The 24,307-nt window shown below is 39.2% G+C and overlaps 1 protein-coding gene across 62 annotated transcripts in view; it reads right to left on the bottom strand.

Annotated features, from left to right (window-relative positions):
• The window catches only part of DLG2 (discs large MAGUK scaffold protein 2), a 2,173,362-nt gene that overhangs the window by 53,659 nt on the left and 2,095,396 nt on the right, over positions 1-24,307 (bottom strand). For all 62 annotated transcript variants that reach the window (NR_165353.1, NM_001351274.2, XM_017017256.3 and 59 more), the window contains one exon: positions 24,038-24,113. Coding sequence is in view for 61 of the 62 variants with exons in the window: in NM_001351274.2 (NP_001338203.1) it covers positions 24,038-24,113 (76 nt within the window). In the remaining variant the exon portion in view is untranslated. The remainder of the gene's footprint in view (positions 1-24,037; positions 24,114-24,307) is intronic.

Here is a 24,307-nt window from a genome sequence, read left to right on the forward strand (position 1 = left end):
ATACACATACAGGCAAACACACACACACAAACACAACACAAATACCTTTTTCTATATAAATCTACAATACAAATGAGAAAACTGAGGCTTAGAGAGATAACATAATTTTGCCCAGCCGGCAAGTGGCAGAACTGGGATTCAAACTCAGCTGTCTCGGACTCCAAAGACCAAACTTCACTACTGTTTTGTTTTCGGTTTGGATTCTTCCAGGGCTTAGCAGTTGCTGAGTACACAGTAGTTAATTGCCTAAGCAATGTTGGCTGACGGAAGAATTGGTTAATAGCTGTTGTCTGCAGTAGAGGAACAGATGCTGTGACCTATTACAGGCAGGAAGGGAGAGCTCAATGACTGTTTCATAATATAGTTTGTTCAAATGTAGTCACGTGATGTTACGGGGTGAGGCCAGTGTGGTTATATGCTCCCAGGCATTTGTTAAGTAAGGAAAGTGCACAAGGCAGGGACAAGAGTCCAATCCTGGTGTCAGACGGGCCAGGCACACTGCTTCTCTATTAGACACATTTTCTTTTTGAGAGTCCTTGCTAATAAGTTTGATTCAAATCACTGGCCATCTGACCTTGGACTAGTTATTTAACTTTTTTAGGATTCATTTTCTTCATCTGCATCATGAATTTAATAATAATGCCTACTTCACATTATCATCACCACTTGTAATGAGGCTCAGTGGTAACTTGTTCAAGGTCACAAATCTAGAAAACAGGAAAGTCCTAACTGGAACCCAAATCTCTCCACCTACAGAGCATATTTTCCTTCCTCTATCACAAGTTACTTTCAGAAATGCAGTAGCTACGTGCCTACTTCAGAAGACAAAATTCACAGTGCTTTTTTCCTTTTTGACTACTCATGGTACTCCATCTCTCAGACTTATGGTACCCCATCTCTTATGGTACTCCATCTCTCAAGCCATTTCTTTTGTCTAAGTCAAATTAACCTTGCTCGCATTTCAAGACTGAATCAAGAAATATACCTTGTGAGTTAGTGTATGTTGTAAGTAATGGGTTATAGACAAAGAACATCCAGGTTGAATAGATTTATTTGGAACAGTTTCTACTTTTGATACAACTCCCCCTTAATATACTGTTAAAAACTCACAAGGCATATCAGAGATGTCTTGGGAGAAAGTGCAAGCTGAAAGGGCTGAGAGATGTGAGACCTGGGCGTAAGTTTTGGTTCATCTCTTCATTCATCAGTTATTTCTTGAGCGCGTAGTATGGAGGCTCACACTAGGGGACGGAATATAGCTGTGAACTAACACACACAAGATACTTTGCTTGTGGGGCTTAATGTCTAGTGAAGGCCAATAGGCAAATATTTAAGCTATAAATGTGGTGCAAATCAGAGGCAAGATTCCTGGCCCTGGCCTGGGTCCTCCTTATCTATGTGAGCTTAGGAAAGTCACTTTTGCTCCCTGAACATCAGCTTCCTTTTCTGACCATCAGGGAGTTAAGTGAGATGACCCTGATGGTTCTTTACAGCATTCAGACTCTATACTAGGAAGATGTTCTTTCTTTCTACCTCCCCTCATTCCCTCCCTCCCTCCCTCCCTCCTTCAGATAGGAGAGGGTATTCAGCTTTACCCCCTTGGATGTTGACTCAGTTTCAGGAGCTGACAGTGCGCTCTTTACCCCCCACCATCTGATGTCACTCCAGACTCAGAGAGTAAGAGGTCACTTGCAGCATTCATGTCCTAGGAGTGATTGAGGGCAAACCAACAAATCAAGTGCAATAATAAACAGCATTCATTATAATGTTGTGACTGATTGAATAATTCTCACTTCTTCCTACTTCAATGAAAAGAGGGGGAACTTGCAAATAGAGGCAAATCCATTACAGCTGAGACTCCTAGCCTGTAGTCCCGTTTTAGCAGGATGCATCACGGGGATTAGGACTCTCGCTAGGGAGTTTGGTCATGCAGTAGGAGAGTGGAAGGGTGGGATGAGAACACAGGCCCCTTGTTTTCTGTCTCAGGCTCTTCGGTATAGCTCTCACGGTGTCTCCCATCTAAATATTTCCTTGAGGTATCTTTCAGATGCTAAATGCAAGTAGACTGTGTTTTCTATGACAAGCAGGGCCAGTCAGAGGAGTGAATCACATTTACAATGTGAGAGCATGTGAGTGGCTCAAAAGTTTCTGAACCATCCGTTTTTTTTTTTTTTTTTTTTTGGAAGGGAAAAAGCAAACATTGCTTGCTAAACTTGGAATACTAGCTGATAAAAGTATATATCCTCACTTGGCTAGGATTTAAATTCCTCCAAGATTTTAGAGATAAAAGCCATGAAGATACATAAACACACTTCAAGGAAATAAAACACCGCAAACTGCCCTCCAATACTACGTTTTGAGAAAAAAAAAAAAACCCTCTCTGTCTTCCTCTCACTTGCTCAAACACACACACACAGACACACACACACACACACACACACACATTCTTTTCTATCTATGCTGAATTCATAGCCCAGCAGGTTCATTCTTATTTCTGTACTAGACACTAGTGATCACCGGGTGAGTCTGTTACTGTAAACCAATTGTCACTTTAAAGCCAGAGAGAACATGCTATTGTTTTCCTTCAATGCTTCTTCTGCCTGGGGAGGAATTTTTGCACCTTGATTGGACATGCCATTCACATAACAATTGCATTCCACTTATGAGTAAATGCACTTGCAGTGCTTAGTACGGTGCCTGGAAAATTGTGTCTAATAAATGACATTTTTACGGTCTACTCATTCTCAAGTCTCATGTCAGTGGAGCTCACCCTAGTAGAAGATAATTTATTTGACAGCAATATCCACTATGTGAAGATTTCAGAGAAATGGGGTGCTGTTACCTCCATCATAGGCTATTATAGTGCTAAATGGAACCACGCATGAAAGGGGTTAGCATGGTAAATGGTTAATAAATGATAAGTATTTTTATTATTATTAGATAAGCATTGATTGTTTTTGTCAAATATTACACTCAGCCCTCCAATAGCAAAAAGTGCCTGTGTAAATTAGAAAAAGCTTCCCTCTCTGGGAAGAGGGAATGTAAAAGAAGCAAACTTTTTTTTTTTTTTTTTTAAAGAGCCAGGGTCTCATTATGTTGCCCAGGCTAGGCTCAAACCCCTGGGCTCAAGCAATTCTCTCACCTCAGCCTCCCAAGTAGCTGCGACTACAGGCAGGAGCCACTGCACCTGGCTTAAAAGCTTACCATTTCTTATGCTGGCTGTTGTTGAATGGGATGTGTTGCTGAGTCTTATTTCCCTACGTGTGTCCCTTAGGCAGCAACATGGCTATAGTAAGCATAGGGAACACAAAGGGAAGAGCTCACAGTGTGCAATAATTGCTATGTTGGAAATTTGTAAACAGTTTGTGAGGGCACCACGGAGGGAGCCAGGGGAAGCTGGGTGGGGCAGCTGGAGACAGCTCAAAGGCACCATTTTAGCGAATTAAAGAATGAGTAGGAAATTGTTAGGTAGAGAACTAGCAAAGCACAGTTCAGGCAGAGGAAAGGCCTGCCCAATGGGGAGGTGCAAAGCCACCCCTTCTGCCCTCTTCTCTCCCCCAATCCTGTGTGACTGAGCAATGGTGAGAAGCTGCACTGATAAAGAGTAGGATTTGGAGAGGGCTGGAGCTCAGAGAAATGGTGGGAAATACATTCGAGACGCAGTTCTGGCTTGGATTGTGAGGAACACCTTAGTTACAAACAGTAATTCTAAATATCTACTCCTGTTCAAGAAATAAGCAATAAACGAGTAATACAAATTTTTCTACAGAAATCACATGTGCAGTTCAGAAACTATTCTTTCATCATTTAACCAGCAACTTTATACTGTATTTTTATTTAATTATTGCATCATTTTATTTATTTATTTATTTATATTATACTTTAAGTTTTAGGGTACATGTGCACAATGTGCAGGTTTGTTACATATGTATACATGTGCCTTGTTGGTGTGCTGGACCAATTAACTCGTCATTTAACATTAGGCATATCTCCTAATGCTATCCCTCCCCCTTCCCCCCACCCCACAACAGGCCCTGGTGTGTGATGTTCCCTTTCCTGTGTCCATGTTTTCTCATTTTTCAATTCCCACCTATGAGTGAGAACGTGAGCTGTTTGGTTTTTTGTCCTTGCGATAGTTTGCTGAGAATGATGGTTTCCAGCTTCATCCATGTCCCTACAAAGGACATGAACTCATCATTTTTATGGCTGCATAGTATTCCATGGTGTATATGTGCCACATTTTCTTAATCCAGTCTATCATTGTTGGACATTTGGGTTGGTTCCAAGTCTTTGCTATTGTGAATAGTGCCGCAATAAACATACCTGTGCATCTATCTTTATAGCAGCATGATTTATAATCCTTTGGGTATATACCCAGTAATGGGATGGCTGGGTCAAATGGTATTTCTAGTTCTAGATCCCTGAGGAATAGCCACACTGTCTTTCCACAATGGTTGAACCAGTTTATAGTCCCACCAGCAGTGTAAAAGTGTTCCTATTTCTCCACATCCTCTCCAGCACCTGTTGTTTCCTGCTTTTTAATCATCGCCATTCTAACTGGTGTGAGATGGTATCTCATTGTGGGATTTGCAGTTCTCTGATGGCCAGTGATGATGAGCATTTTTTCATGTGTCTGTTGGTAGCATAAATGTCTTCTTTTGAGAAGTGTCTGTTCATATCCTTCACCTACTTGTTGATGGGGTTGTTTGTTTTATTCTTGTAAATTTGTTGGAGTTCATTGTAGATTCTGGATATTAGTCCTTTGTCAGATGGGTAGATTGCAAATATTTTCTCCCATTCTGTAGGTTGCCTGTTCACTCTGATGGTAGTTTCTTTTGCTGTGCAGAAGCTCTTTAGTTTAATTAGATCCCATTTGTCAATTTTGGCTTTTGTTGCTATTGCTTTTAGTGGTTTACACATGAAGTCCTTGCCCATGCCTATGTCCTGAATGGTATTGCCTAGGTTTTCTTCTAGGGTTTTTATGGTTTTAGATCTAACATTTAAGTCTTTAATCCATCTTGAATTCATTTTTGTATGAGGTGTAAGGAAGGGATCCAGTTTCAGCTTTCTACATATGGCTAGCCAGTTGTCTCAGCACCATTTATTAAATAGGGAATCCTTTCCCCATTTCTTGTTTTTGTCAGGTTTGTCAAAGATCAGATAGTTGTAGATATGTGGCATTATTTCTGAGGGCTCTGTTCTGTTCCATTGGTCTATATCTCTGTTTTGATACCAGTACCACGCTGTTTTGGTTACTGTAGCCTTGTAGTATAGTTTGAAGTCAGGTAGCGTGATACCTCCAGCTTTGTTCTTTTGGCTTAGGATTGACTTGGCAATGCGGGCTCTTTTTTGGTTCCATATGAACTTTAAAGTAGTTTTTTCCAATTCTGTGAAGAAAGTCATTGGTAGCTTGATGGGGATGGCATTGAATCTATAAATTACCTTGGGCAGTATGGCCATTTTCATGATATTGATTCTTCCTACCCGTGAGCATGGAATGTTCTTCCATTTGTCTGTATCCTCTTTTATTTCATTGAGCAGTGGTTTGTAGTTCTCCTTGAAGAAATCCTTCACATCTCCTGTAAGTTGGATTCCTAGGTATTTTATTCTCTTTGAAGCAATTGTGAATGGGAGTTCACTCATGATTTGGCTCTCTGTTTGTCTGTTGTTGGTGTATAAGAATGCTTGTGATTTTTGTACATTGATTTTGTATCCTGAGACTTTGCTGAAGTTGCTTATGAGCTTAAGGAGATTTTGGGCTGAGACGATGGGGTTTTCTAGATATACAATCATGTCATCTGCAAACAGGCACAATTTGACTTCCTCTTTTCCTAATTGAATACCCTTTATTTCCTTCTCCTGCCTGATTGCCCTGGCCAGAACTTCCAACACTATGTTGAATAGGAGTGGTGAGAGAAGACATCCCTGTCTTGTGCCAGTTTTCAAAGGGAATGCTTCCAGTTTTTGCCCATTCAGTATGATATTGGCTGTGAGTTTGTCATAGATAGCTCTTATTATTTTGAGATACGGCCCATCAATACCTAATTTATTGAGAGTTTTTAGCATGAAGGGTTGTTGAATTTTGTCAAAGGCCTTTTCTGCATCTATTGAGACAATCATGTGGTTTTTGTCATTGGTTCTGTTTATATGCTGGATTACGTTTATTGATTTGCGTATGTTGAACCAACCTTGCATCCCAGGGATGAAGCCCACTTGACCGTGGATATGCTTTTTGATGTGCTGCTGGATTCGGTTTGCTAGTATTTTATTGAGGATTTTTGCATCGATGTTCATCAGGGATATTGGTCTAAAATTCTCTTTTTTTGTTGTGTCTCTGCCCAGCTTTGGTATCAGGATGATGCTGGCCTCATAAAATGAGTTAGGGAGGATTCCCTCTTTTTCTATTGATTGGAATAGTTTCAGAAGGAATGGTACCAGCTCCTCCTTGTACCTCTGGTAGAATTCGGCTGTGAATCCATCTGGTCCTGGACTTTTTTTGGTTGGTAAGCTATTAATTATTGCCTCAATATCAGATTCTGTTATTCGTCTATTTAGAGATTCAACTTCTTCCTGGTTTAGTCTTGGGAGGGTGTATGTGTCCAGGAATTTATCCATTTCTTCTAGATTTTCTAGTCTATTTGCGTAGAGGTGTTTATAGTATTCTCTGATGGTAGTTTGTGTTTCTGTGGGATCGGTGGTGATATCCCCTTTATCATTTTTTATTGCGTCTATTTGATTCTTCTCTCTTTTCTTATTAGTTTTGCTAGTGGTCTATCGATTTTGTTGATCTTTTCAAAAAACAAGCTCCTGGATTCATTGATTTTTTGAAGGGTTTTTTGTGTCTCTATTTCCTTCAGTTCTGCTCTGATCTTAGTTATTTCTCACCTTCTGATAACTTTTGAATGTGTTTGCTCTTGCTTCTCTAGTTCTTTTAATTGTGATGTTAGGGTGTCAATTTTAGATCTTTCCTGCTTTCTGTTGTGGGCATTTAGTGGTATAAATTTCCCTCTACACACTGCTTTGAATGTGTCCCAGAGATTCTGGTATGTTGTGTCTTTGTTCTGGTTGGTTTCAAAGAACATCTTTATTTCTGCCTTCATTTCGTTATGTACCTAGTAGTCATTCAGGAGCAGGTTGTTCAGTTTCCATGTAGTTGAGCGATTTTTGAGTGAGTTTCTTAATCCTGAGTTCTAGTTTAATTGCACTGTGGTCTGAGGGACAGTTTGTTATAATTTCTGTTCTTTTACATTTGCTGAGGAGTGCTTTACTTCCAACTGTGTGGTCAATTTTGGAATAGGTGTGGTGTGGTGCTGAAAAGAATGTATATTCTGTTGATTTGGGGTGGAGAGTTCTGTAGATGTCTATTAGGTCTGCTTGGTGCAGAGCTGAGTTCAATTCCTGGATATCCTTGTTAATTTTCTGTCCCTTTGATCTGTCTAATGTTGTCAGTGGAGTGTTAAAGTCTTCCATTATTATTCTGTGGGAGTGTAAGTCTCTTTGTAGGTCTCTAAGGACTTGCTTTATGAATCTGGGTGCTCCTGTATTGGGTGCATATATATTTAGGATAGTTAGCTCTTCTTGTTGAATTGATCCCTTTACCATTATGTAATGGCCTTCTTTGTCTGTTTTGATCTTTGTTGGTTTAATGTCTGTTTTATCAGAGACTAGGATTGAAACCCCTAGTTTTTTTGTTTTCCACTTGCTTGGTAGATCTTCCTCCATCCCTTTATTTTGAGCCTATGTGTGTCTCTGCACATAAGATGGGTTTCCTGAATACAGCACACTGGTGGGTCTTGACTGTTTATCCAATTTGCCAGTCTGTGCCTTTTAATTGGAGCATTTAGCCCATTTACATTTAAGGTTAGTATTGTTATGTGTGAATTTGATCCTGTCATTATGATGTTAGCTGGTTCTTTTGCTCGTTAGTTGATGCAGTTTCCTCTTAGCCTCAACGGTCTTTACAATTTGGCATGATTTTGCAGTGGCTGGTACCGGTTGTTCATTTCCATGTTTAGTGCTTCCTTCAGGAGCTCTTGTAGGGCAGGCCTGGTGGTGACAAAATCTCTCAGCATTTGCTTGTCTGTAAAGTATTTTATTTCTCCTTCACTTATGAAGCTTAGTTTGGCTGGATATGAAATTCTGGGTTGAAAATTCTTTTCTTTAATAATGTTGAATATTGGGCCCGTCTCTCTTCTGGCTTGTAGAGTTTCTGCCGAGAGATCCGCTGTTAGTCTGATGGGCTTCCCTTTTGGGTAACCTGACCTTTCTCTCTGGCTGCCCTTAACATTTTTTTCTTCATTACAACTTTGGTGAATCTGACAATTATGTGTCTTGGAGTTGCTCTTCTCAAGGAGTATCTTTGTGGCATTCTCTGTATTTCCTGAATCTGAATGTTGGCCTGCCTTGCTAGATTGGGGAAGTTCTCCTGGATAATATCCTGCAGAGTGTTTTTCAACTTGGTTCCATTCTCCCCGTCACTTTCAGGTACACCAATCAGATGTAGATTTGGTCTTTTCACATAGTCCCATATTTCTTGGAGGCTTTGTGCATTTCTTTTTATTCTTTTTTCTCTAAACTCTGCTTGCTTCATTTCATTCATTTGATCTTCCATCACTGATACCCTTTCTTCTAGTTGATCGAATTGGCTACTGAGGCTTGTGCATTCGTCACGTAGTTCTCATGCTGTGGTTTTCAGCTCCGTCAGGTCCTTTATGGACTTCTCTGCATTGGTTATTCTAGCTAGCCATTCGTCTAATCTTTCTTCAAGGTTTTTAACTTCTTTGCCATGGGTTCAAACTTCCTTCTTTAGCTCGGAGTAGTTTGATCTTCTGAAGCCTTCTTCTCTCAACTCATCGAAGTCAGTCTCTGTCCAGCTTTGTTCCATTGCTGGTGAGGAGCTGCGTTCCTTTGGAGGAGGAGAGGTGATCTGATTCTTAGAATTTTCAGTTTTTCTGCTCTGTTTTTTCCCCATCTTTGTGGTTTTATCTACCTTTGGTCTTTGATGATGGTGACGTACAGATGGGGTTTTGGTGTGGATGTCCTTTCTGTTTGTTAGTTTTCCTTCTAACAGTCAGTACCCTCAGCTGCAGGTCTGTTGGAGTTTGCCGGAGGTCCACTCCAGACCCTGTTTGCCTGGGTATCAGCAGCAGAGGCTGCAGAACAGCGGATATTGGTGAACAGCAAATGTTGCTGCCTGATCGTTCCTCTGGCAGTGTTGTCTCAGAGGAGTACTCGGCCATGTGAGGTGTCAGTCTGCCCTTACTGGGGGGTGACTCCCAGTTAGGCTACTCGGGGGTCAGGGACCCACTTGAGGAGGCAGTCTGTCTGTTCTCAGATCTCAAGGTGCATGCTGGGAGAACCACTACTCTCTTCAAAGCTGTCAGACAGGAACATTTAAGTCTGCAGAGGTTTCTGGTGCCTTTTGTTTGGCTATGCCCTGCCCCCAGAGGTGGAGTCTACAGAGGCAGGCAGGCCTCCTTGAGCTGTGGTGGGCTCCACCCAGTTTGAGCTTCCCAGCTGCTTTGTTTACCTACTCAAGCCTTGGCAATGGCGGGAGCCCCTCCCCCAGCCTTGCTGCCACCTTGCAGTTTGATCTCAGACTGCTGTGCTAGCAAAGAGTGAGGCTCCATGGGCGTAGAACCCTCCAAGCCAGGCGCGGGATATAATCTCCTGGTGTGACGTTTGCTAAGACCATTGGAAAAGCGCAGTATTAGGGTGGGAGTGACCTGATTTTCCAGGTGCCATCTGTCACCCCTTTTCTTGGCTGGGAAAGGGAATTCCCTGACCTCTTGTGCTTCCCGGGTGAGGCAATGCCTCACCCTGCTTCAGCGATGCCTCACCCTGCTTCGGCTCATGCTCGGTGCACTGCACCCGCTATCCGACAATCCCCAGTGAGATGAACCCAGTACCTCAGTTGGAAATGCAGAAGTGATTTGTCTTCTGTGTTGCTCATGCTGGGAGCTGTAGACTGGAGCTGTTCCTATTCGGCCATCTTCTAACCAGCAACTTTAAGTGTCTGAATTATATATCCCAAAGAAGCAGAGCTGCACAGTTGACAGAAAAGTCACAAAATCTACCCATCAGAGTCTTAGCATATATATATGTATATATTTGTACTTACTATGATGTGAGATGAAATTAAAAATGGTAAAAATGAGAATTAACGATAAATAAATAAAAAAAAGAAGTTTGTTCCTGGGGTTTCTCAGCTCGTAGATTTAAAATAGCAAATTCAGTGTGGGAGGGGGCTGGACTGAGGGGCTGCTCCATACAGCTATCTGCTGACAGTGCCAAGAGAGTACAGCTGAGCACTGTGCAACTAGGCAAGAAAACCCATCAAGTGTGGGGGTCAGGAACTTAAAACACAGTGCAGAGAGAGCAGCCACAGAGGGTGTCTGTAGTATAACTGAGGTCCATAATTATTCATTTAATGACTCCAAGGTGTCAGTCTCAGTACTAGGGGCTGGGTAAATGGTATGGAGTAAGACCCAGATGGGGCCTTTGCAGTGGTTCTGCAGCGGGGTGTACTGTAGAGAAACAGTGGTGAGAGAACTGAGTCTTCCCTAGCACTCAGCAGGTGCAACTCCAAAATTTCCACACAGCAGCCACAACCACGATTACATTGTGGAAGAAGATTTAGTTTTACTAAAGTATCACTAATCACATTAATGCTGTAATTTTGAATTTTATTGTTACAATATACCACTATTACATATATGGTGTTTAATTTGTAAATTTATTTGAACATGATAGATGATATAAGAGCTATAAGGTATTTGCCCCTAATTTTGTGTTTTTTATGTATTTAGGTAACATCATTATAAAAAGATTTAGTCAACACTTGGGGGCATGGGTGCCCAGAAATATTATTTTCTTTAAAAGGGGACCCTATATTCTTCACCTCATGGGATTCTTGTGAAGATTTAATGAGAAAAATTGTTCTATTTAGCAAAAACACCTGGCTTATATGTAATCTTCAAAAAACATCAATTGTATTGTTATCACATTTAAAAAATACTAATCAAAGTCAAATTCTTTATTTGCCAAATGTGAGCTTTGCCTATTACTGCGAAGGGCATAAACACAGAAGTTCAGGCAGCTCATGGGATGAGCTGGGTGATGGGGAGCTTTTACCTGCAACAAAGCAATCATTCCATCCATTGGCAATCGTAGATTCATATCTGTCTTTTTCTGACTGTCATTTGGGCTTAGACTCCACTTCACCTAGAGCCATTAGACTTGGGAGGTGTTCACAGAATCCTTCTCTATGAATAAGGAGTGACCAGGTTTGTCATTCACATTTACCTCATGCCCCAAATTCATTATGGTATTAATTCTTTGGGCAGGTGAGCACAAGTCAATTACAGAGCAAAATGGTGGCTTCTTAGGGCCTTCCAGGAAAAACCACCACATCAAGAGTGTTCAAACAGGACGTGTTAGTAAAATCTTTACAAATGTTCATGAAGTTGTCAAAACATAAAAGGCGAATGGCATATCTGCAAACTTTTTACTTCTTTTCAAGTGAGATAGGCTTTCACTTATATTGACAAGTGCTTGTAATAAATTTGAGACAGTAATTGGAAAAGTTCTCACTTTGTAGTTGTGTCACTCAGATTTCTCAGAACTCTGTGAATGAATGGAAACTGCATTACGGTTATCACTACTAACAAATAAAAGATGTTTCTCATAGCTTCCCCATTGTTGCCTATGTATACCAATAGCCCTGGAGTCATGGAAATTATTTTTCTCTTTTTCTCTTACAGGGATTTCAAGTGCACAGAAAGGGAAAAATCATAATCCTTAGTCATGATATACCTTTCATTGCTCATGCTTTCACATTAGGTGGCAGGTTCATGGTGCTTACTGCGTTGTCATAGATAGAAAGATAGCTAACTAGCTAGGTAGGTAAGTAGGTAGGCAGGTAGATAGATAGAAAGACAGACAGACAGGTAGGTAGATAGGTAGGTAGGTAGATAGATAGATAGATAGATAGATAGAAAGAAAGACAGACAGGTAAGTAGGTAGGTAGATAGATAGATAGATAGATAGATAGATAGATAGATAGATAGAGTGGGCTACACATGGATGTTTTTCTTGAGAGGTATACTTTTGATTTGACTCAATAGCCTTCATGCTATGACTCTTGTGTAGCTCGCATCTTAATGAGGTAAGTTTAACCCTCTTACATGTCCCACTTTACATAGGAGTAACTGGTCTGTCTCAGATGACACAGCCAGTGGCATAGCTGGGATGGCAGTACTAAGTTTGTTGACTGCCTAAGAAGAATAGATCATGTATCGAGACTGCCAACTTCAAAGGAAATCCAAATGTTTGCCAGACCATTTAATGTTTGCCAAGAGCATGGGCAAAGGCTCAGGCGTCCTTGTTTTCCCCCAGGCCCTAGAACAGTGCTGAACATGAAAGACGTCTTGTAAACCTTCACAAATTAAATGGAACTGTATACTAAATAAATATTCATGGACCTCCAAAGAACAGTGTCTGGCTGTGTGACTGCACACAGGTCACTTATTTCCTCTGACCCTGCCTCTTTATTTATCAAATGGGTAAGGTACAAAAGTGCTTTGCAAATACAAGGACTTATTTTCCAGTATCCACAAAGAATTTTAGTCCTGGGGGAGAAGTGGATTTATCACAGCCAGCTTTCTGGTTTTAACCTGGCAATCAATCTAAAATTAGTTTCAATTTTAAAAAGTTTACTTTAGTGACAATTTTTTTTATTCTGACCTGGGTTGGTTTTCAGTTTAATTTGGTGGTTATTCCAGTATCATGTATAAACTGCCATTGATTTCTGATAACACGTAGCAATTACTTAATGCTGCAGACTTGATTTACCAGGTAAGGCAAATGTGTTGGAGTGAGGTGTTGGTGAGATGCCTGCTAGAGGATAGATTTAAAAGCATACATACAATTTTAATTTCCGGTCTGGACTCTGCCAAGTTTATTTCCCTTCCACTGTCCTCCTAGTGGGCAGTTACTTTGCACCATTCGCCTTTTACCCCTTCTCTACCAATTCTATTCAGGGTCCCCCACATGTTCATGAATGACATTTTTAACAGTCTCCCCTACATGCCATTGCCATCTGTGGGCTCCCTTCAATTCCTAGGATGTAGGCTCTATGATTTCTCCCCTGAGTCATCCCACCGTCCTTCCCTAGGTGTCTCCCTACTCCAGTCCCTCCCAAGTCCCCACCATCCATCCTCCCAGCAAGAGTCAACCTCTTTATTTACAAACACAGCCTGTCACTCCTCCATCCAATAACCTTGAAGGGCTCCCCAGTACCCAAAGAAGAGCCTCTTCAAAAATTTTAAAGGAATACTTAATGCCCTCTGTTACTGGGCCTCAAGCTATGTTTACAACCTTACCACTGCCCCATTGTGTGTGCCCATTGAATGGAATACTCGCTGGTCACCAGATACCCTCTATTCGTTTACTTTTGCTCCTGCTGTTTTCTAAGTGTTAAAGTGCACTTACTCCTCACAGAGTTAGCTAAAATGCTACCTTTTCTTCGGACCCTTTCTTAATTGCTCTCACATGGAGTAGGCTCTCCCGCCCATTTGAATACCTGTTAAGACTCTATTCATGTTTTGCTAAACTTTTTTGCCTTATGCTATAGCTGTGTGTATATGTATGTGTGTGGTGTGTACCAAAAGAAAGTCTTGGGATGGCAGAGGTGGGGTCTTATTCATCTACGTCTCCACCCAGTGGCCAGAGCGGTATCCAGTGCATACAGGAAACTCAAAACCTATTTATTGAAATAAAAGGAAGTAACACTCAGATCAAGAGAACCTTCCTCTAAAGGCAACAATAAATTATTTGGTTCTGCATTCACAACCTATAGAAAAAAAAAAAGTGATCTGTGCCTTCTAATTTACATGATTTTTCTCCTAATACACCATGTTCTTTCTTCTCACATTATTTAATTCAATACTTATTGGTTGAGTGCCATGAACTATTTTAGGCCCTAAATAATTCATAGTCCTGGCCTTCAAGGAACTTGCTATCTATTCTCCAGAGTTTATTATTATAGTTGAAAAATCACATCTCAGAAAGAGAAGCTATTTGCTCCAGGTCATGTAGTCAGAAAAGTTAAGAATAGGATAGTCTAATTTTAGAGCCCCCCCCCCCTTTTTTTTTTAATCAAAATGCAAGGTAATTAGGTATTTTTATAAATATTAAGAACATATTGGAAGCTGTTGCTGAAACTCTTTTCAGATATTACACGTGCTATTATTTTTTAAAAAAACCTTTTTACCCACATATAAACACAATGTATAGTTAAGAGGCAAGATATACTCTTTTTACTTGCTAAGAGTCTGGCAATAATTACCATAGTGAGCAAGTCAGATGACTGGACATTCACTTCTGCATCTTTATCTTTCAGTGTTGATGTTTTAGCTTTGAGATAGTTAAAAACTTTTGCAAAGTGAAACCTGCAAGCTCAACGGTATGACTGTAGGCCTATTACTACAGAGTCAGATGAAAGGAAGTCCTATAGTGAATCAGAATTTATTCTTTAATAATTCCCAAAGTAGAAATGGGTTGAGCTAAATTTTCTGAATAATACTTACCTTGAATTAATGATGAAAAGAAGATTTAACAAAAGCTCAGTGTTATCTGATAAAACTATACTTGTTATTTATATTACATAACCACATATTATACAACTCCTATTTATATTACTTTAGTCTTACCATCAGTACTTGAATGGATAGAATTAGCTATGCTACTAACATCTGGAATTAGTTCATATGTAAAAATCTTCTAAAGAATCAATTATTTTGATTTGCTTGCACAATAACAATATGTAATGCAGGGCCCAGCTCTGCCACTTACTAGCTGTAGGAGCTTGGGTAATTTATCTATCCTTTCTTAACTTCAGTTTTCTCATCTGCAAAACGGGCATATTTATAATATTTACCTCACAGGGTTACTGTTAGGAGCAAATGAGCAATGGTTATAAAAATAATATGTAGAAAATAACAAATCTACAGATGTTCAGAATAACTGGTATCCTAAATGAGATGCAATGGTTCTCCAAAGCAGTAAGCACTGATCAAGTGTGTTCTTCTAGAAATTCCTGTAGGTAGCTACACAAGATAGCAGAGAACTCAGAAACCATCTGGATTTGCAGCCAATGGCAGGGGCAGGGGGCGGGGTTTAGAATCAGTCCTGCTGCCAAGCTCCATCTTCCTGCCCATTAGAGTCAGCCAGTGGTAACTTCTCTCCCCAACTAAACAAGCACAAGGTCAAAAACACCGTATGCAAATGCACACAGGGCAGTTTTGGCAACTCTCCCTTCTTCCTCTGTGCAAAAGGAGATTTGGAATCTAAAGAAAAGAGTAGTGTTAGGAAGTTGCTCATTCTAGCCTTATAAGGGTGAGAGTTTAAGAGGTATGTGCTTGTGGGTAGGGGTGGGCAAAAGATAGACTAATATTTCTTAGTACTTTACATATATTGTATCTTTTAATATGATTTCTATTTTCACATATTAGGCTTAGATAAGTTATGATAATTGATAGGAGTTGGTTATTCTGTCTGATTCCAAACTTTTCCACTGTGCCTGTGTATCTCAAATTAGTAGCATGCCTAACAAAATCTCTGGGGAGCTTGTTAAAATGCAGCTTTCCTGCCCCCATCTCCAGAGATTCTGATCCTGCAGGACAGGGGTTGAGCCTGCTCACCTCCATTTTTAATAAGCACCTCAGCTGATTCTGATGTAGATGCTGCAGGATACACTTTTTTTTTTTCCTGCTGAAAATTTTCTGGTTTCTTCTCTCCACAGCTACTCTATGGTCCTGGGTCAGGTCTTTTCCATGTCTTACCTGAATTACTGAAATGGATCCCTGCCCTCTGGGGCTGCCTCCCTCTGGAAATTTATTTCACACCACAGCAAAATGATCTGCTAAATTCTAATCTAACCTCTGCTGAATTCCTCCCAAGGCTTTCCACTGCCCTCAAGATGGAGGACCTTCATGACCTGGTTTCCAACTTCTCTGCGTTATCTCTGGACACTTGAAGCTTTGTACTTATGCTTTGCACTTACGTAATATTAAGCTTCCTTGGCTTCCCTGAGCACACCGGGCTGTTTCCTGATTTCTGCCAACAACACTCTTTTCATCTTTTTACACCTGATTAGATTTTACTGATTCTTCAAGGCTCATTTTGAACGATATCTCTTTTAGAAACTGAAATATATTGTAAACATGAGTATGTGTGTGTGTGCACTGTGAACAGATTTTTCAGTTATAAATTATAATACATTTTGTATATAAGGTTGCAGATTAACTTGACAGTTTCAATGGCAGTGCTTTGTGGACCCAAGTGGCAGAAATGCCTGTGCACAAAAATACATAAGGAATGTAGTTTATTCTCCACGCCATTCCACAGAATAGCAGTTTCGTCATCAGCAACTTGAGACAAATAGACTATGAGGAATACATAAAATAATATGAACTTTTTCATCCCAAAATGTTCCTTGAGTTCCATCGGCTTTCAGGGTTTACATAGGACACACCTTAACATGTCTCAGACATGGAGACTTGACTGGGGTTTCCTCTGAGAACCATTTTCAGAAAAGCCACTAGCACATCTTGATCAGACAGTTATCTGTGTGCTGGCTCAGGTGGTTCTCAGTGGACAAGGGAACTCAAGGTTTGGATAGATGTGATTATCACATTCAAAAGAAAACATAACAAGTTATAAAGTGTCTCCACGTTGGGCTATTGAAGCTGCAAAATTCCCTGGACATATGCCTATCTTTGTTCTTTATACATAAAAATATAAGACCAGTTAAAACCACACTGCATGCAGTATAGGGAAAGAATCCGAGAGGAAAGGTGAGCCAGGAAGACCAGTGAGGAAGGTGTTAGAAGGCTTGGAATAAGAAAAGTAATAACAAAGACATCAAAGAGTAGCCTCTTCTGAGTTTATTCACCTTGAGGGCAAAGCCTGCCTTCCTGATGCCCCCTGGAGTGCAGCAGTATGGCTCTCCTTCCACCTCTCCTCCATGGATCTGTAGATCACCTCTGGACATTTGAGATCTTTGCCTGGCTCTGGCCATTCCAAGACCGGCTCCATTAAAGAGCTTTCTTTCGAGGGCAGTAATGACATTTCTTTTGTCAAAATGTCACTTTGAAGCTGTGACAAAATCAATCCCTATAACTCACTCTGGTGAAGCAAATAAAATTCCCATCTTGCTAACGAAATACTGACTGTCACATTGATTTTTTGATAAGTGACACAATAGTAGGCTCTGCTACCAGCTCTTTGTGTGTCCTAGAGAAATGAGTCTCAGTTTCTTCATTTGTAAATTAAGTCAATGGCCATATGGAAAGTTCTAAGAATCTATGAAATAGAAATGAGATTTCTCAATGCCAGCTGCAGTTTGATTTTGGGAGTTTGCTATCAACCTATCCCTGTAGCTTCTGCCCCATCCCCTCTCTCATAATCAACATCTGCTCTTAAAGGGAGCGTAAGGCTTTGGAAAAGGAAATAGAATATTACTAGGAACAGTCGGGACAAATGTCCAAGGATGATAGTCCTCTCTGATCTCTTTAGAAATGGTTTCCTATTTTGCTTTCCTATTGCCACTTTTGAGTTCAGGTTTTCAGAATCTTACACCCAGAATACTGTAATAGCTTTCTCAAACATTTCCTATTGCCAGTCTCTCTCCTCCAACCTTTCCTTCCCACAGCTGCCAGACTGATCTCTCAGAAACCCACTTCTGAACATTCCATTCCCTTTGCTCTATGTGTTGAGTAGCTAGTATGTTTAAGGTAGACATCGTGCTAGGTGCTGGGGCATACAGATGAGTAGATTCAGATCTTTGCCTAGAAGGACCTCATAATGCAGCCTGTATAGGCAGTGATATAGGTACCTTCAGGGCATTAGCCCAGAGAAAATCAACCTGGTCTGGTTGGTCACAACCCTTAAAATTCTTTATTGCTTACAGGATAAAGTATAAGTTTCCTGGAAAATTTTAGGCATCAAAACTGACTTGAGTCTAACTTTCCAGTTCTGATTCTTTTCATTCTCCTTCACAAATTGTTCCCTGTAATGAAAGTGAACCATGTTTTATTTCATACTTATTCTGTATCTTACTCCTAACCCCAGTCCCTATTTTCCTAATCCTTCAACGCCCCCTAATTCAAGCTGGAATCTCCTTTTCTGCACTGAAAACGTGTTTTCTGCCCTTCTCCTTTGGTATTAATCACTTCCTCCCTGTAGACACTCATTCTGTCCCCCAGAAGACCTGCTCCGTCAGGAAAGTGACCATGATTTATTTGTCTTTACACCTCCACATTACTTATCAAGCTGCCTTGTATTGGATCTAATAAAGGTTTATTAAATAAATGAATGAAGTCATTCAGCAAGACTTGTTCCCTCATTTTATTTTAGCAGGCCACAGTGAGAAAGTGTGTATATCTGAGCTCACTTTAGAATGTTCTCCTTCAGAAAGATGTGCATCATCTAGGAAAACCAGCTTCTCCTCAGGATTTAAGTTTATGCCCAAGTTAGGTTTTGACAAAGCTAAACCCAGTTCAATTTACTTCTTTATTTTTCTTAAATTGCACAAGTGTTACATGATGTCAATAAAAAAGAAAGCATGCTATAGTAAGCAGATTGTGAACTTTGGAATCAGTCAGACATGAATTTTTCTTCACCTCTCTAAGCCTCAGTTTCTTTAAATCTATAAAGAGGAAATAAATGATTTCCTTTGAAGTCTTGTGGTGATTAAGAGATGTATGTATGCCGGGCATTGTGGGATTCCAGCACTTTGGGAGGCCAAGGCAGGAGGATTCCTTGAGCCCAAGAGTTTGAGACCAGCCTGGGCAACAGAGAGAGACCTTGTCTCTACAATTTTTTTTTTAAAAGAGAGGTGTATGTAAACTGTCTGGGTTTTTATAATGGCTACTCATATTACTTCAAATAACAACTATCATCTCTGTTCTGTCCCAGCCCAAGGATAAATAGGATGATTTATTTGTTTATACCATACCTTACTTTAGAAAGGGTTTACAACATAAAAGAGACACACATTGCACGTTGCTGACATATAGTAAGGATACTGATAGCTCTCTCATACTCTCTCTTACATATATTTCCCTTTCTTAAATTATAGACTTAAAAAAGAAGTTTGGCATAAATCACTAAATAGTCATTGATTTTTCAGTGCAGAACAGCTTGACTCTGAAGATTATGCAATTTCCTAAACCTCTCAATAAGTAACAGAATGGCTGGTTAACGGTGAAATTGATTTAAAAAAAGGTAGAAGGACAATAAAAGAAATTAAGGGGTGCTTAAGTTTTCACCAGAGGCTGGTTTGACTAGAGACTCATTAGAAATTTAATAGACATTCCCAGGGGAGCTTGACTGCATTGCTATCTGGGGCACTGAGATGGGTCTTAGGGAGACCTATCCAAATAGATGGCTGTTTGAAGTTTAGGGATCTGCATAGGTTGGACTTATCTAGGCTACTGACACAATAGCCCACTTTTCTTTGCATGTGTAGACATAGACTTTGTAAAGGCACACAGAGTGGATAGAAATCCTGGGTATTTCATTTGTAGCAGATGAGCACTTTCAAATGAAGAACCTCAGATTTCTTCATGTATACTTTCAAAATCCAATAAGCTTCTAACCTGATAGCCAGGCCTTCCATACAAGCTTTCTGGCCTTTCTGACCTTCTTTGTCAACCTCATTTGCTACAATTCCCACCATGACCTTTGCACACTGGTGTCCTTGACTTGCTTAACCCTATTCCAACATGTCTGCAATTTCCACTATCGTGTTCATGCTTTTTCCTATGTATGTGGCAAACTCCTACTGAAAATTTAAGATCTCATTCAAATATTGCCTCTTTGAAGCCTTCTCTTTTACCTAAGGCATATTTGTAATGCTTTACTTCCTCTGGCTTCAACAGAATCATGTATAGTGTAGAGTAATGGAAAGGGCAGGCTTCTGTTGTCAAAATGATCTCAACCTGATGCTTGCACCTACTAACTGTGTGATCTTAGGCAAGCTAGTTAATCCTCCTGAGGCTCAGGCTCCTGATTTTTAAAATAAAGACTGTTCATTCCCTAAATTGATGGAAAACATTAGTGATGCTGTATTATCATTGTTTGCCTGCTTATATTTCTCTTTTTGAGCCTGCCTGGTGTTTTGCAGCACTCGGTGTTATTGCAATCAATGAAGAGTTCTGGAAAAGTAACTCAAGCACTGACAGTCACATTAAAGTCCAAGTTCATCTATAAAGTGCTCTCTGGTTATTCCTGCAACCTTTAATTTAAATTCTTATAGCTCGTGTACATACTACTAATAAGGCTCTTGTCACAGCCTGCTTTCACAGATACTAATTTAATCTAAGCTCCTCCAGGGCAGTAACCTTGGCTTTCACTCTGGGCTCCTCAGGACATTTCACAATGCTCTGAAAATGCCAGCTAATGATAAGGTTATTTAAAACACCCTATTATCCTTCTCATTCCAGACAATTTTCCTCCTCACTTTATGCTGAATTTATCCCAAGGTCCCAGAGAATGAGGCCCCTGCATCAATGACTTATTCCTGTAGTCCTTGCCTTTAATTCAAAGTGAGTGGCATCTCCTGACCCAGCTTTCCCAACTCTCCACATAGTTGTTCTCTCCTTTCCTCAGTGCATTTTATCTCTTGCTAATGGTTCTTTGCTTTCTACTTCTGGACAAGTCTTCTTATTGACGTATTTTCTCATAAAGATTTGAAAAACTTTGATTTATTACCAATTAATGCATGAGTAAATCTTATGGAGAGTTACTAACGTAAGGCACCTTAAAAAATCATTGAATCCAGTAACTGCAAATAGAGAATAATTCCCAATGTTGTGCTAGAGATGACTCAATCATGGCACTCTTTTTTTTTTTCTGAAATCATTTATGGCCTCAGAATCCTTTTTCAAAACAATACTCCAGATATAAACTATCAATCCATTAGTCTACACAGGAGATGAAACTTGTTTGACATCCCTGATGTAGTTTAAAGGTTTTATTTTGGTAATAAGGCCCAAAGAACAACAGTGACTTAGTAGTGAGCTGAAACCAGAACCCAGGTTACTGACCCTCCTGATTTTCCATTCAGGGCTTCCCTTCCCAGATGATTACTCCTTTCTTTCAATAGCGAAGTCCTATAATTTACAACCTATTCATTGGCAAATACCTAATGGTGTTTAACATGTATAATTAGAAAGCACATCATATATATTTCAGCCTTACTGAAAAGACATCTGGCCTCTCACTGATGTTAGGAGCTCTTGGGGAAAAGGGCCCATGTTAGACTTTGTGTCCTTCTAAAGTTCTAGTCCTGTTTCTGGCACATGGTAGGTATTCAGTAAAAATCCTCTCACATATATCCAACTCTATCTGTCTGTCTGTCTGTCTATCTATCTATCTATCTATCCATCTATCTCAAACAAATAAGAGGTCTATCCTTAAATTCTCACCAGGAATCATGGAAAAAAAACCTACCTCTTGTATACAAGTAGTATTTGTTTGAAAGGACTTTATGTCATGATGTCACATACCCTCACTTCTATGTAGAATGACATCCTATGTTTCAATAAATTTTCATTTCATTTGAATATTTTAGGGGAGGGTAAATTATTATGTCAATGACTGGGCTCCCTTATGATTCTAGAAATAGAAAGGGCAGTGCTATGATTCGGGCCTCAAAATCCCTGAGAAATTATAGCTTTTTTTTTTCTTGTTTTTCATGGTGACAGCAATTGACCATAACTTGTGATTCTGTATGATATTCACAAGCTACAATTGCTAGGATAGAAAGACGAAAGAAAGGATATGAAGAAAAAGAGAACGGGAAGAGAGAAGATGGGAAAGTTATTTTACAACACAGCAATAAGATACAGTATTATCTCTTCAAAGAATAGATTTAAAAAATCTATACAAGCCACAGCTAACATCACACTTCATGGCGAAAGACCGAATGCATTTCTGTTAATGTCAGGAACAAGACAAAAATGTCTGCTCTTGCCATTTCTAACATTATACTGAAGGTTCTAGCTGGTGCAATTAAGCAAGGAAAAAAGGCATCCATATTTGAAGGAAAGAAGCAAAACTCTCTCTTTTTGCATGTATATCTTGTATATAGAAAACTCTGAGGAATTCACTAGAAAACTGTGGCTTTAGCAAGGTTGCAGGATATAAGATTGGTCTATAAATAATTATATTTATGTACATTTGCAATGAACAATCCAAAAATGAAATTAAGAAGACAATTCATATGCAAAAGAATGAAATCAGAACCCTAACTCATACAACGTACAAATACTAACTCAACATGGATCAACCACCTAAATGTAAGAGCTAAAATTATAAAACTCTTAGAAGAAAATATGATATAAATCTTCATGACTTTCATTAGGCAATGGTTTCTTAGATATGACACCAAAAGCAAAAATAACAAAAGAAAAAATACACACATTAGACTTCACCAAAATTAGAACCTTTTGTGTACCAAAGAACACTATCAAGAAAATGAAGACAACCCACAGAGTGGGACAAAATATTGCAAAGCATATATATCTCATAAAGGTTTAATAACCCAACTATATAAAGAACTTCTGCAACTCAACAATAACAAGACAACCCAATTTAAAAATGGGCAAAGGATCTCAATAAACATTTCTCCAAATAATATATACAAATGGCCAATAAGCACATGAAAATATGCTCAATATCAACAGTCATTAAGGAAATGAAAATCAAAACCAGCATGAGATACCACTTCGTACCAACTAAGATGGCTGTAATCAGAAAGACATATAATAACAAGGATATGGAGAAATTGGGACCCTCATGCATTGTTGTGGAAATGTAAAATGGTGCAACCACTTTGGAAAACAGCCTGTCAGTTCCTCAAAATGTTAAGCATAGAGTTACTATATGACCCAACAATCTCACTCCTAGGCATACAGCCAATGGAAATAAAAATATATGTCACAGAAAAGTTTGTACACAAATGCTCACAGCAGCATTATCCATAATAACTAAAAATTGGAAACAATTGAAATGTCCATCAACTGATAAATGAACAGATTAAATGTGGCATATCCATATAATGGAATATTATTTGGCAATAAGAAGAAATGAAGTACTTACACATTCTACAACACAAACACGTCTTGAAAACAATGTAAGTGAAAAAAGCAGCCACAAAAGACCACATGGTGTATAATTTCATTTATATAAAATAACCAGGATAGGCAAATCCATAGGGACAAAAAGTAGATTAGTGGTTGCCTATGTTGGGGTGGGAGGGTGGGGAAATGGGAGGTGACTGTCAATGCATATAGGGTTTCTTTATGGAGTGATGAAATGCTCTAAAATTGATTGTGGTGATGGTTGAATAATTCTAAATATACTAAAAACCACTGGATTGTATTTTTTAAGTGGTTGAGTTACATTGTATGCAAATTTTATCTTATAAAGCTATTATTTTAAAAACATGTACACATGTATATGTGAGTAAATATTCTAATTTTGATGGCTAAATTTTAGTCATTAATTCTCTTCTATGTCTGTCACAACAATCCGTGTATTCATTAGATAATCCATGTTTCTATGACTACTGTCTTAGCTTCATAATGTGAAACAGACTAGATATATTTTCTGATGAGCAGATACTTTTTATAAAATCCATCATTTTAGAACATTAATTTAAAAGGAAAAAACTTAAAGAAACAAAAACCACCTAAACTATCTTGTTCTTCTTCATTGTAGTCATTACATCACCTTCATCAACACACTGCTTCTGCTAACCACTTGCAGCTTTACTCCCAGTGTTTAAATATATTTACCATAAATCCATTTCATCAGAAATCACATTATTAACTTCAGCAATATATTTATAACAGTGCTCTACTGTCTGGTACCTTCATAATTTGTTTGCTACTGAAAGCCTAAATGTGTTAATTATAGTTAAATCCATGGCAACTGAGAGAACTTGATGTTTCCATCATTTTGTACCTACCCCTTTCGAATCAATCACTCCAGGTTTGGCATTAAACTTCACTGTCTTCAATCGGGCACGTTCCTTTCTTTCCACCCTAAAGCAAATTGAGAATAAAGAGTCTCTCACGTGACAAGGCATTTATGACTAAGTTCCATATTAAGTGAAGAACATTTTTTCCTCCTATCCTTGAAGCTCAAATAAAATGTGTTCTAAAATATTTCTCTTCCTTTGTTCCATATAAAAAATCTTGGTACAAAGTCTCTAAGTTTCTAACATGTCCCTTGAAAT

This window comes from Homo sapiens, chromosome 11 (assembly GCF_000001405.40).
Source record: "Homo sapiens chromosome 11, GRCh38.p14 Primary Assembly".
NCBI lineage: Eukaryota > Metazoa > Chordata > Mammalia > Primates > Hominidae > Homo > Homo sapiens.